Below are 12,477 nucleotides of genomic sequence, written 5' to 3'. Positions count from 1 at the left end.
AATTCAGCAGGCTGGGGATCCCCAGGCTGGGGCTTCCTGGGCCTGGAGTCACACATGCCTGCCTTTGAATTCTGCCTCCCCTCTTACGCTTGGAACCTCTGGAGGGTCACTTTACATCCCTGAGTCTCAAGTTCCTTATCGGCGGAATAGTGATAGCCAAGCAGCCTGCAATTAGACAGGGTTGTGAGTTTCAGAGAGGTTAACACGTGTGGGCACATCTTCAGTGGAAAAGTCAACGGAGGCCTGGCCCCTGAAGGTGTGCAAAGTCCACACCAGCGATGCACCATCCGAATGATCTTGAGCAAGATGCTTAAGCTTCCAGAGGCTCAGTTTTCTCATCTATAAAATGGGACTAATAATATTACCTATGTAACAGTGCTGCTCCAAAACGACATGAGGAACTCCATGTGTAACACTCAGTGTCTTACACATGGAACCTTCATGAAAACATGAGCTATCATGTGAGGCAATGCAGAGGTTGGGAAAATGAAGTGTTTTCCATAGTCTTTTTATTAGCAGACGTCACAAGCTTGTGGACAAATAAAAACTGTCTGTGGAGAGCTGACATGTTTTGTTTAGCTCAAAATATTGGGGAAAAAAAGTCCACTTGTCAACAGTGAAAAATGAGATTTCTCACGTTTAGAGAAGTCGTGAATTTCAATTTTAAAATATTTTGGAACAAAGTCAAAAGGTGTAACAGCCGTGGGCCGAAGCCAGGCAGTCGTGACTTAGAGGTGTGTGCGCTCCGCCTCCACCCAGCCGGCACTTCCGCAGCCTCCACTCAGCTCACTTTCCTGTGCGTGTTCCTGGCCTGGCCCCGTGGGCTTTGTGGTTTATGACTCTGTCTTAAAGGACTGTGTCCAGTGTAGATCTGGGATATAAAAAGGTTTGAATGAGCCTACAGCAAGCTGAGGCTAAAAGGATCAAGACTTTATAATGGAATCTAATATTTTAAAACAAGCTATTCTTATTTTCTTAGCTATAAAAGCATTTGATCAGCAGACTTGCCTTGCCTCCAGCCAGAGCAGCTCTAGCAATAGCTCAGCTGTCTGTGTTCCAGGAGCCCTGACTGCCTCCGCTGCTGCCACCAGCTCTGCAGACCAAGAGCCCCCACGTGTGGTGCTAAGTGACAGGAGGAACGGTGCACCTGGGCATGGCTGGGTCAGGTCCCCTGCAGCCCGGCTTTTCCTGTGGAGCCACGTGGTCTGCCAGTGTGGGGAGTCAGTGCAGACTTTGCCCAGGAGAGGCTGAGACAGCCAGTGCCTCCTGACCCTCCTTGGCTGACTGTGGCTCACAGCTCCTTGTGGCCTCTCTGGTGAGGTCCTAAGTGACTGAGCAGTCAGCTATGTTTTGTTGTGAGACTGTGACCGGCTTGGAATTGCACTGCTCAGTATTTGTTTTTGCTTTTTCTCTGCCCCTCTTTCTTCCTCATTCCTGCTTCTTTCTTTGGGATTGCACCTCCAACAAAGCTTTAGCCTGTAAGCTTTTGTCGTAGGCTCAGCTTTTTAGGGCAACTGGAATAAAGTGTACATGTTCATTGCAGACAGTCTGCAAAATGCTGAAAAAATAAAGACCGTAAAATAAATCACTCATAATCCTAACATCCAGTGATAGTCAAATCATTGTCACTGTGAGTCTTTCTCCTCCTTCTCCCCTCCTTCTCCCCTCCTTCTCTTCATCTTCCTCCTCCTCCTCTTCCTTTTTCTCTCTCCTCATTTAAACAGGTGAGATTAGGAGAATTAAGACTGAGATAAAATAGCTTGAAAAGACATGGCTTAGAGAGGATTTTATGCTTGTCTTGCTATAAAGAAGAAGGTTTTATAGTAAAGATGCTGAATAAAAGGACAATATATTAAATAACAAATTCAGAAAGAGAGGTTAGGTGCGTAAAAGAAGTTGAGACTGCCAGAAGCGTTCTGCACTGAAAGGAATTCCTAGGAAAGAAGGCTGTGGCATCCCCACTGAATGAATAAAGTATGGGGTTTCAGGGACAGGAAAAACAGAGAAAATCAAAGAAAGAGAGAGTACAGAGCTGCTCAGGGCAGCACCTTTTCTGGCAGAAGAAAAGCAGCCACAGAAAGCTGGCTCAAAAGGCAAGCACTTGATGGAAAAGAAGAGACAAAAATCAGAGAAGGAGAAGTAATGCAAATTGAGTTTATATATTTTTATTTTTATTTTTTTGAGATGGAGTCTCTCTCTGTCACCCAGGCTGGAGTGCAATAGCACAACCTCATCTCACTGCATCCTCCACCTCCCAGGTTCAAGCGATTCTTCCTGCCTCAGCCTCCCAAGTAGCTGGGACTACAGGCATGAGCCATCATGCCTGGTTAATCTTTGTATTTTTAGTAGAGACGAGGTTTCACCATGTTGGCCAGGCTGGTCTCAAACTCCTGACCTCAGGTGATCCACCTGCCTCAGCCTCTCAAAGTGCTGGGATTAGAGGTGTGAGCCACTGTGCCTGGCCATTTGTTGTTTATAAAAAAATTCATATATAATTAATCGTACTTTGAATTTTCATAAGAGGTTGTTTAGCAATGGGGAAAACAAATTTTAAATACATATGTGTCCTATGTAAATACATTTATGATAAGACACCTGTGAGTGTCAAAGGATGCCCTAGGTCTGTGGACATGGAGGCTCTATAAGGCGAATATAATAACAGCAGTACAGGCGCCCCTAGGCTGAGTGCTTCCTCACTGGTATTGTTTGCTAATTGTTTCTGGAGGTGACTAAGGATGGATGGCAATAAAAGTTTGGGGGAATGTATTTTTGATTGACCCCAAAATGGTTTTGCTGTTAAATGAGGTGAGCATAATGTAGGGTTTATTCTCCTCAGGAGGACTCTATAGATTTTCATATCCCATTTACATCAATAGCAGGATAATTTATCTTGATTACAGGGAATACTGAGGGAAGTAATTGTCATGTGCTGCTTATTATAGTGCTTCCAAATAAATCCCAAACTCCACGATATAGAGGTTTTAAAACCAGCCACAGGGCGTGCACGATGGCATTGGTTTCAATAATCAATAGTAAATGATCCATGAATCAGAGATGCTTTCTTAGAGTGATCATAATGGCTTCTATTCCTTTCCTTTCCAGCTCATTAACGATCAGCTTTTAAAAACATGTCCAACCTGGGTGGCACTTTCATAGGGAGGAGCTGCCGCCTGTGTGTCAGAGCCCGGAGTACTGGGTGACCGCAGGCCAGATGCACAGCCAGGAACTCCGCCCAAATCAATGGCCTCCTGTACATTTTAGGTAACACCTCCTAACCTGTGTTTTGGTCTTTTGTTTTGTCAGGATAGCCACTGAGCAAGCCTGTAAGGCTATTGGTCTGCCCATTCTGGTTTCTTCACCAATGAGAAAACTGGGACCTGGGGAGTTTGCAGAAGCCATCCAAGGGCACCTGCTTCTCACAGCACAGCAGCTTCCTGCAGCCCTCCCTCCTGTCTTGTTTCTCCCTTAATTGAGAGGAGAGGCCAGAACCAGATGCAGGCAGTTCCAACAGTAATGAATTGCTCTAAGGTGTGGATCCAAGAACCGGTGACAAGGTCAGGAAATTCCATCCCGGGACACTGACCCAACTAAGAGACTGTGCATGATGGCTAAGTTCAGAGCTCTGAGGAGATGGTAAAACTCATTTGCAACGAAACAAGATATTTTCCAACTCTGCAGCCAGGTGAGTAGGGTGTTTGCTTTATTGGAAATTGGTTTCTGAAATATTTGGCGGAGGAGGCTGTGAAAGGTGTTGGCAGATGTCAAACAGCACCCCCTGGTGGAATGCAGTGGCCCTGAGTCTTGGTCTGGCAGCCTTTTTTTTTTTTCAATTGTGTAAATTTAAGATGCACAACAAGATGTTTTGATATACATATTTATAGTGAAGTGATTATTTACAGATGACCAATTTAACATATCCATCTCCTTCTATAGTTTCCTTGAGTGTGTACACACTAACAGCACCTAAAATCAACTCTTTCAGTAAATTTTCAATATACTCTACAATATTAGTAAGTGTAGTCCTCTTGCTGTACATTAGATCCCCAGACTTATTCATCCTACATAACTGCAAGTTTGCACTCTTTAACCTACATCTCCCCACCATTTCCTTGCCTTCCCTACCCCTGGGAGCCACTTTTCTTCTATTCTGTTTCTTCCTTCTTCCTTCATTCTTGTTTCTTCCTTCTTCCTTCTTCTCTCCTTCTCCTTCTTGTTCTTCTTCTTCTACTACTTCTTCCTCTTCTTTTTTTCTTCCTCCTCTTCTTCCTCCTCCTCCTCTTCTTCTTCTTCTTTTTCAGACTCCACACCTCAGTCGACTCCACATCTCAATGAGATCATGCAGTATTTCCTGTGCCTGACTTACCTCACTTAGCATAATGTCCTCACCCAGTCTGGCATCAGGCTGCAGCCAGCTCTGCCAGCAGGGCCAGGGGCCTAGATGGACAGCTGGTCAGGGAAGCCTGCTGGATGCCCCCTTCCCCTCAGCTGCACCTGGGCCCCAGGGGCTCTGGCCTCTCCTGGGGGATCCCATCTCATTCAACCCATGAGCAGTGGAGGAGGTGGTGCAGTGAGCCAGGAGAGTGTTCCAGTCATTTTGACTCATAACTTACACATTCTTGTCCAGCACCTCCTGTGCCTGCCCTGCATCCTCTCAGCCCCACCTCTGACTCCAGCCACAGCTCAGACACGTGCTCTGTGGGCTTTCGCCTGCTTCCCATGGACAGTGGCTCACCCCAAAATACGCTTTCTCTGAGGGCTTTGGAGAGACAGGGGGATCCCATCATGAGGAGTGCTGGAAGAGGTCTTTGTGCAGCCCCAGTGCTCCTGCTTGGTGGCCCCTCAACCCTCCCACTGTTCCTCCACTCTCCCATGTTAGGGCCCCTTCTCTTTGGGCCCCCATTCAAATCTTCATATATATATATATATATATATTTATATTTATATATATTTATATTTATATATTTATATATATATATATATATTTTTTTAATTCATCAGGGCTCTTGGCTGTTACTTCCCTCTGGCCTGGCCAGAGACTCACTTATGTGATCTCATGAAGATTGGCCCATCATGCTCAGCCACCTTCCGGCAGCCACGAATGGGGAGACACTTTGACATTCCATTTGCCCGTTTCGTTGCTCCTCTCCTGACTTGGGAGGGAAAGAAAGCAGTTTAGACATATGCTTTGGTGTGTGATATGAATTATGCCACTTTCTCCCTTCACTCTGTAACTTTAGAAATGTTTCAACAGTCATTTATATTTGTGTTAAAGCTCACTGAGTTTCACTTTCCTCAACTGAAATTTACCAAGTGCCTGGGCTTTCCCAGGCCTCGTGCTCCAACAAGTCATAATAAAGTAAATTGGCAGCTACCAGATAGTGCTGCAGTGCTGACGAGCCAGTGCGCAAAACGCTTCAGAAGCACAGAGGAGGGAGGGAGGGTCGGGCTGGGGGCACCAGCTTCACCCTGGGAAGTCACCCCCCAGCCCTGGCCCTCCCCATCCCAGGCAGGCTCCACAGGAATTAGTGTCACCTCATTCCCCCTCCCTGCTGTCATTGTCTTTTCTGGAAGAAGAGGCTGTGAGGTCCTTGCCAAGCTCAGCAGGTTGGCAAGGGACCCCGTCATTCCTTCTTTGTCATTCCCCTGATGATGGGGTTCTATTTCCCAGGGCAGGTGCTGGGGAGGCAGGTGGAGCAGAGAGAGAGGCTCATTTCCACTGAGGAGAGAATGCCTTCCAAAGGTCCCTGCCTTTGGATTCAGTTTGCTGCTCTTCTGCTTGGGAACCAGCTCTACTGTGGGCAAGGCAGGGATTCTGCATGAGGAAGAGGGTGCTTACCCCCCCACCCCATAGACACTGCTGAGGGCTGCCAGGAGGAGGCAAGCCAAGGCCCTTCCAGCTCTGCCTTTGAGGCCCGTGCCATGCTGAGACCCTCTCCAGGCACAGGGGCCAAAGCACAGGGCTAGGACTAGGATGTGCTAGGCACATCTAGAGACAGGGTGTGGTTCTCCACTCTCCGGGCCTGTTTTCCCACCTTAAAAATAGGGCAGAGAGAAGCCTTGACTATCAGATTTGTGGGTTCCCACCCAGTTCCTCATGCTTCGGGGCTCTGTGGCAGGTTAGAAGTGAAGGATTGTGGAATAAATGCAGAGGAAAAACACAGAAGTGAATAGAGATGAGAGGAAGTTGGCGAGGGGAAGAGAGAGGGGGAAAAGAGGCAGAGAAAAAAATCAAAGAGGAGAGAAAGTGGGAATGAGAGAGGAGAGAGAGAGTAAATGAACAAGAGAAGGAGGGAGAATATGAGTAAGTAAATAACAAGGACAGAGTACTGTCTTCCCTCTGGCTAGACTGCGCCCTGGTCTCCATGGTGATGGGATGCAGAGGGTTGGGGAAGGCTGCTCTCACCCCTCCTGGGGTGAAGCAGACCAGGTCACAGCAGCTGGGCAGGGCCTGACTTGGTGGCCTTCCCTGTGCTGTGCCTGCCTTTGGCTGGTGGCAGGGTGGGATGCACTCTGAGAAGATGCCTCTAACCATCGTTGTGGACATGACTGACACCCATCCCAGGTGGCGCAAGGATTGCCTCCTTGGTCTTCCAGAGCCCCTGGCACTGCCCCATTCATAGTTCAGCTCATTCTGGCCCCAGATTGCCTTCTCCTCCAGACTGCAAGCTCCTCCAGGGAGCTTTAGCTGGGGGTCCTTAGTTCTGTTGTACCATAGATGCCTTTGGGCAAAGCCAGTGGACCCCGTTTCTGAACAATTTTTTAAATGCATGTAGTAAAATACACAGAATTAACAAAATCAATTATATTGAAATATACTTATTAACATTAAAATGTAATATAATAACAGATTTGCTTTTCTAGTAATACATTATAGCAGCAGGTCTGATAAGCATCATAATTCCAACGTTGTGATCAGTATAAATGACACAGCATGATATCTGCAAAAACCGTGCTGTGAAATGGAGGCCTCTATGGCTTATATTGATGACAAGGTCCCAGGTACTAATAATACTATTAGGGACATGCTCAATTTCAGCTCGAGGTTGGTGAACACAAAAGAATAACTTTTGGCCAGGCACAGTAATCCCAGCACTTTGGAAGGCCGAGGCGGGCAGATCACAAGGTCAGGAGATTGAGACCATCCTGGCTCACATGGTGAAACCCCGTCTCTACTAAAAATACAAAAAAATTAGCCAGGCGTGGAGGCAGATGCCTGTAGTCCCAGCTACTCAGGAGGCTGAGGCAGGAGAATGGCATGAATCCGGGAGGCGGAGCTTGTAGTGAGCCGAGATCACGCCACTGCACTCCAGCCTGGGCAACAGAGAGAGACTCTGTCTCAAAACAAAAAAACAAAACAAAACAAAAAAAAAACAGAAAGAATCACTTTTTATCCACCTTCACAGACTCACCGAATTCTATTTGTGGACCCCTTGGTGGGGTCTTTGGACCCCAAGGAAAGCCCCTACTCATTCCCTATGCCTTCCCACCCCATCTTTCATCTCTCTTTCCCTTGTTACTCTGCCCAGTCCCCTGGCCTTCTGGCAGTGTCACTTTGTGTGTTTCTTTTTGTCCTGTTTTGTTTTGTTTTTGCAGAAAGAGTTTCACTCTTGTTGCCCAGGCTGGAGTGCAGTGGCGTGATCTCAGCTCACTGCAACCTCCGCCTCCCGGGTTCAAGCGTTTCTTGTGCCTCAGCCTCCTGAGTAGCTGGATTACGGGCACGCACCACTACGCCCAGCACATTTTTGTATTTTTAGTAGAGACAGGGTTTCACCATGTTGGCCAGGCTGGTCTCAAACTCCTGACCTCAGGTGATCCACCCGCCTTGGCCTCCCAAAGTGTAGGGATGGCAGTGCCACTTTGAATGCGTTCAGTGCTTCCTAAGTCAGGGTCTTCTCCCCTGGTTGCCCCTGCTGCCTAGAATGTTCTTTCAGCCCCTGGACCTGGTCCCTCACTCCTCACCTCAGCTCACCTCCTCAGAGCAGGCTCCACAAAGGTACCAGGCTAGATTTGGTGTTTCCTGTTTTTCTTGCTACAAAACTCAGTGTATTGCTTCTCTAGTACTTATTCAATTTATAATTGATCTTCAAACAAATAAACACAAAATAAACATATGTCCACCCGTGAAGACTGTGCTTTATGAAAGGATGGTGACCACATCTGTTTGGCCCTTTGCCTTAAATTCAGCTAGCAATATCTGTTACCTAGTAGAGACAGTACACGCCTGAAGAAGTGATGAATGAATGGATTTAAAAGGTTTAGACACTGTCCAGCTTGTCTTTGCACTTTTAGTGCTTAGCCCCATGTCTGGCACATTGTAGGTGCTCACTTAGTGATAGCCAAATGAATTAAAGGCTGGCTGGCTGGATAGAAGGTTGGGGGGCTGGGGTGGAGGCCTCACAGATGTGACCCTGGATCCTAAACCTTACTGAGATACTGCCCAGCCCATGGACTGCCTCCCAGGGTCCAGCTGTGTGATTATCTCAACCTTCCTTTATTTTTTATTCCATCTCCCTCTTTCTAGTTTCTGATTTGAAAGTGGCTGATTTGGGGAATGAGTTCTGAGCACTCTGTGGGTTATTACTGTAGAAACCATCCTCCTGGCTGTCTCACCATCAGCGCCACCTCTCCGTGGGTCTGGAGTCTTGAGGAGCCAGGACTGGACTGGGATGTAAGGTTGGGTCTTCCGAGCTGTAGATGGGAGCAGGAAGATGTATCTCCATTCACGATCTCAGTACAAGGCTCAGCTATCTCCCGGCAACTCGCCCATCATCTGTTTCTGAGTTCTTCTGACATACAGGTACTCATGCCTTTGATACTTCTTTACCTCTATTCAGTGATGAGCCATTTAACCACGCAGCCATCTCTGGACCATGAGACAGGAAGGCTGGGTCAGGGTGGTGGGGGCAGGGGAGTGCTGGGAACCGAGGAGAGGGCGGAAGAAAAACAGGGAGGAGGCCCGTTCATCCCTGACCCACAGCATCCTCCTGCCCAGAGCAGGAATTTGTTCTGCTTTTTTTTTTCTTAGCAACATTCACCTGATTGAGTCCTGACCTTTCCCTGCCAAAAAGAAAGCCACGCTAGCGAAATTAAGGGAGAAATCTAATATTCATGAGGTGCTGATTACCCACAAATAAGATAGTGTTTTAGAGTAGATGGTGTCAGAATTGCAAAAGCTTTTGATCAATATGTATGTTTATGGGCCCAAACAGAAGTGGAATACAGTCTAGGTGCTGAATAATTCCTCATGAGGATGGAGACAGAGCCTTCCACAGCCTGTTCATCATCAGGTGTGGGGCTTGGGTGAGGTGTGATTATCTAGCGTAATTACACGTGCCATGCAACATTCATGAAACCCAGCAGACATCTTTGTCTGTGCAGGACAGGAAAGGGCTTCACTCTAAAGCACAGCAAACTTCCAAATTACTATTTAGTCTTTTGTACTTCAAGCTTCAGACATTTTTCATAGGTGCTAAGTAAGGTATTCAGAGAGCCTGCTTAGGACTGGTTAGGTACCAGTTAGAATTAAAAGTTTCTCTCCCCAACAGCAGATGAACCAGATATTGTTAATAAAACATTGCAAGCTACAAATCAGTTACCACTGACACTTAGCTTGCATTTTGTTTTCCTTCCTTTTCAAGGTTCTTTGGAGGCGGCATCAAGAAAATACATTTGGACAAATCCTTCATCTCAAATATTTTCCCCTCATGAAACCAAAGGCATTGCTCCAAAGTCATTTCCATTAATTAGACATGCATCTTGTATGACTGAAGGAGAATCTAGTCCACAAACTCTGGGTTAATTTTCTCTTCTGACATCTGTGTGTAGTGTTTCTCTGAGGAGCTGAATTATCTGCTCTCCAGTGCCTTCCTCTCGGTGTTTTTTGGCCAGGAGCAAGGAGACAGGCAGCTGCATTCTGGGAGCAGCAAGCAATTCTGAGAACTGGAGCTGCTTAGGTTCTTTCACTTCTGCTTCAAAGGAATACGTTGAGTTTGCAGAGAATGAAGGAGAGAAAGACTCCAAGTTCCAAGCAGGGTCTTGGGGTAGTCTCTGAGCATCCCAATGTACTTACTTCCTCCCCACAGCTTCCTCACTGGGCTCCCAGCCACCAGTATTTGTCTCTTTAATCCCCCAACACAGAGCTACTAGATGGATTTCTTTCTTTCTTTTTTGTTTCTTTCTTTCGATCGATTTCTCTTTCTTTCTTTCTTTCTCTTTCCTTCTTTCTTTTCTTTCCTTTTCTTTTCTTTCTTTCTTTTTCTTTCTTTTACATCTTCCTTCCTTCCTTGCTTCCTTTCTCTCTCTTTTTCTTTCTTTTATGGTTTTTTTTTTGTTGTTGTTGTTGTTGTTTTTAGACAGTCTTGCTCTGTCACCCAGGCTGGAGTGCAGTGGTGCAATCTCGGCTCACTGAAGTCTCAACCTCCTAGGCTCAAACAGTCCTCCAACTTCAGCCTCCCAAGTAGCTGAGACTACAGATCAGCAATCTGGCTAATTAAAAAAAAATTTTTTTTAGAGATGGGGTCTTACTATGTTGCCCAGTCTGGTCTTGAACTCCTAGCCTCAAACAGTCATCCTCCCTTAGCCTCCTAAAGTGCCGTGATTATAGGCGTGAGCCACCATGCCCAGCTGGATTTTTTCTTTTAACTGTAGTTTTATCATGTTCTTTTTGCTTAAAATAAACTTTTCTGAAGTAAATTCTGGACTCTGCAAGGTCTTTGTTCTATTTGTTATGGTGTTTGGGCAAGCCCTCTGTTTTCCTGTCCAGAGCAGGCCTGGGACCTTTGCCTTCGGTGGCTTTCCTGGGATCCCCCACTACCCAGAAGAGCAGGGCTATTGCCTCTGCTCGTCCCCAGATCCCAACCCTCCATGGGCCTGCCCTGGATCCTTGCTGTTGGAGGGGAGGCACAACTTCACCTCTACCCTCATAGGGATTTTTGGCTGCACCTGCGAGTTACATTGACATAAGACAGATGAACGAAAGGAAAACATACACATTTATTTCACACAAGTTTTATGTGACACGGGGGCCTTATTAAGGAAATGAAGACCCAAAAAGGCAGTTACAGTAAACACATAGTGAATTGGACAAAGGGTAGTGCATTATGAAAATGTGACAAGGCAAAGGGGCTTGGGCTAACATGGTTAGTTGGGTGGAGAAGTGGCCAGGAAGATAAGGGTGAGTCTAACAAGGTTTGTATGTGCAGATTTTTCTTGGTCTCAATTCCCCATCCTTGATGGGAGTGGGACTTTGCTTCTGGTACAGAGTGCCTTCTTCACATGGGAATTATTTTTTGCTTTTAAGAAACAGATCAGAGTGGTCTTCTTTCATCTGCTGTTTTCTTATCCGTTTTTAACTCAAAATAGTCAATATTCTACAGCAGCAGATCTGGGGGCAACATGTTCTGAACTCCCTTATTTCTGAATGTCACTGTCTTCCAGTCACAGACCACCAGGAACACACCTGCAGTTGGCCAGCTGGGTTTATTACTTGATATGGTGAAGAAGGATGCTCTCCACAGAAAAGTAGTGGGGCATCTCAGGAAGAAGATATTGATGAAAGCTTTAGAGTCTGGGCTTTGGTTGGGTAATGTTGAGGAGGGTGTAAGAAGGTGACGTTTGCCATGGATTGGGTACTGACAGAAAGCGAGAAGGATGTTGTAGTTTGGTATCTTGATAAATGTTACAGACAGGAAGGGCAGACTAGAGCGAGGACAAGGCTGTAATTGGTAAAGAAGTAGCAGTCACTCATTTTTTACCAAGAGTGGTGGTTTTTAGGAGGGCTGCACAGTGATTTTGTTTTTGTCTAGTGACCTCACTTGATGTAGGTGTTCTGTGAGATCAGGTATGTCTAGCATAAAGAACATGGTCTCGCTGTCAGTGTCAGACCAGTTTCCAGATGTCAGGGGCCCATGCCTTCCCTTAGGACTCTCCACCCTCAGCCTGATCCATGTCTACACCTTGTAGTGCCAACCCTGAGGCTCTTCCTATTTATTTATTTATTTATTTGTTGAGACAAGGCTGCTCTGTCACGCAGACTGGAGTGCAATGGCATCATTGTAGCCAGGTGTGGTGGTGCACACCTGTAAACCCAGCTATTTTGGAGACTGAGGCATGAGAATAGCTTGAACCCGGAAGGCAGATGTTGCAGTCGGCCAAGATTGCACCACTGTACTCTGGCCTCAGCAACAAAGTGAGACCCAGTCAAAAAAAAAAAAAAAAGAGAGAAAGAAGAAAGAGAGAGAGAAAGACAGAAAGAAGGAAGGAAGGAAGGAGAGAAAGAAAGAAAGAAGAGAAAAATTTAAAAAAGAAAATGGATGGGAAACACTTCCAAACTGTAAGGGCTGTAGGAGTGAGGGCACCACTTTTCTGAATGGCACTTGGCTGTTGGGAGGCAGCACAGTAAACACTGTCCCTCACTATGCTGTCATCACTGGGGTGAGGACTCTTCTCCATTCAGCCCTCCTGATCCACTTTCCACTC

At 46.4% G+C, this 12,477-nt stretch overlaps 1 pseudogene across 1 annotated transcript in view; it reads left to right on the top strand.

The window, feature by feature from the left end:
• LOC100420587 (SHC binding and spindle associated 1 pseudogene) overlaps nt 1–12,477 on the top strand; it is a 292,307-nt pseudogene that overhangs the window by 257,611 nt on the left and 22,219 nt on the right. The window contains exons 6-7 of the transcript NR_110759.1: nt 3,304–3,682; nt 8,587–8,797. The product of NR_110759.1 is annotated as an SHC binding and spindle associated 1 pseudogene (transcript). The remainder of the gene's footprint in view (nt 1–3,303; nt 3,683–8,586; nt 8,798–12,477) is intronic.

Source organism: Homo sapiens, chromosome 19 (assembly GCF_000001405.40).
Source record: "Homo sapiens chromosome 19, GRCh38.p14 Primary Assembly".
NCBI classification, from domain to species: domain Eukaryota; kingdom Metazoa; phylum Chordata; class Mammalia; order Primates; family Hominidae; genus Homo; species Homo sapiens.
The sequence above is the reverse complement of the archived record's forward strand: the minus strand, read 5'-3'. Positions and strand labels throughout refer to the sequence as shown.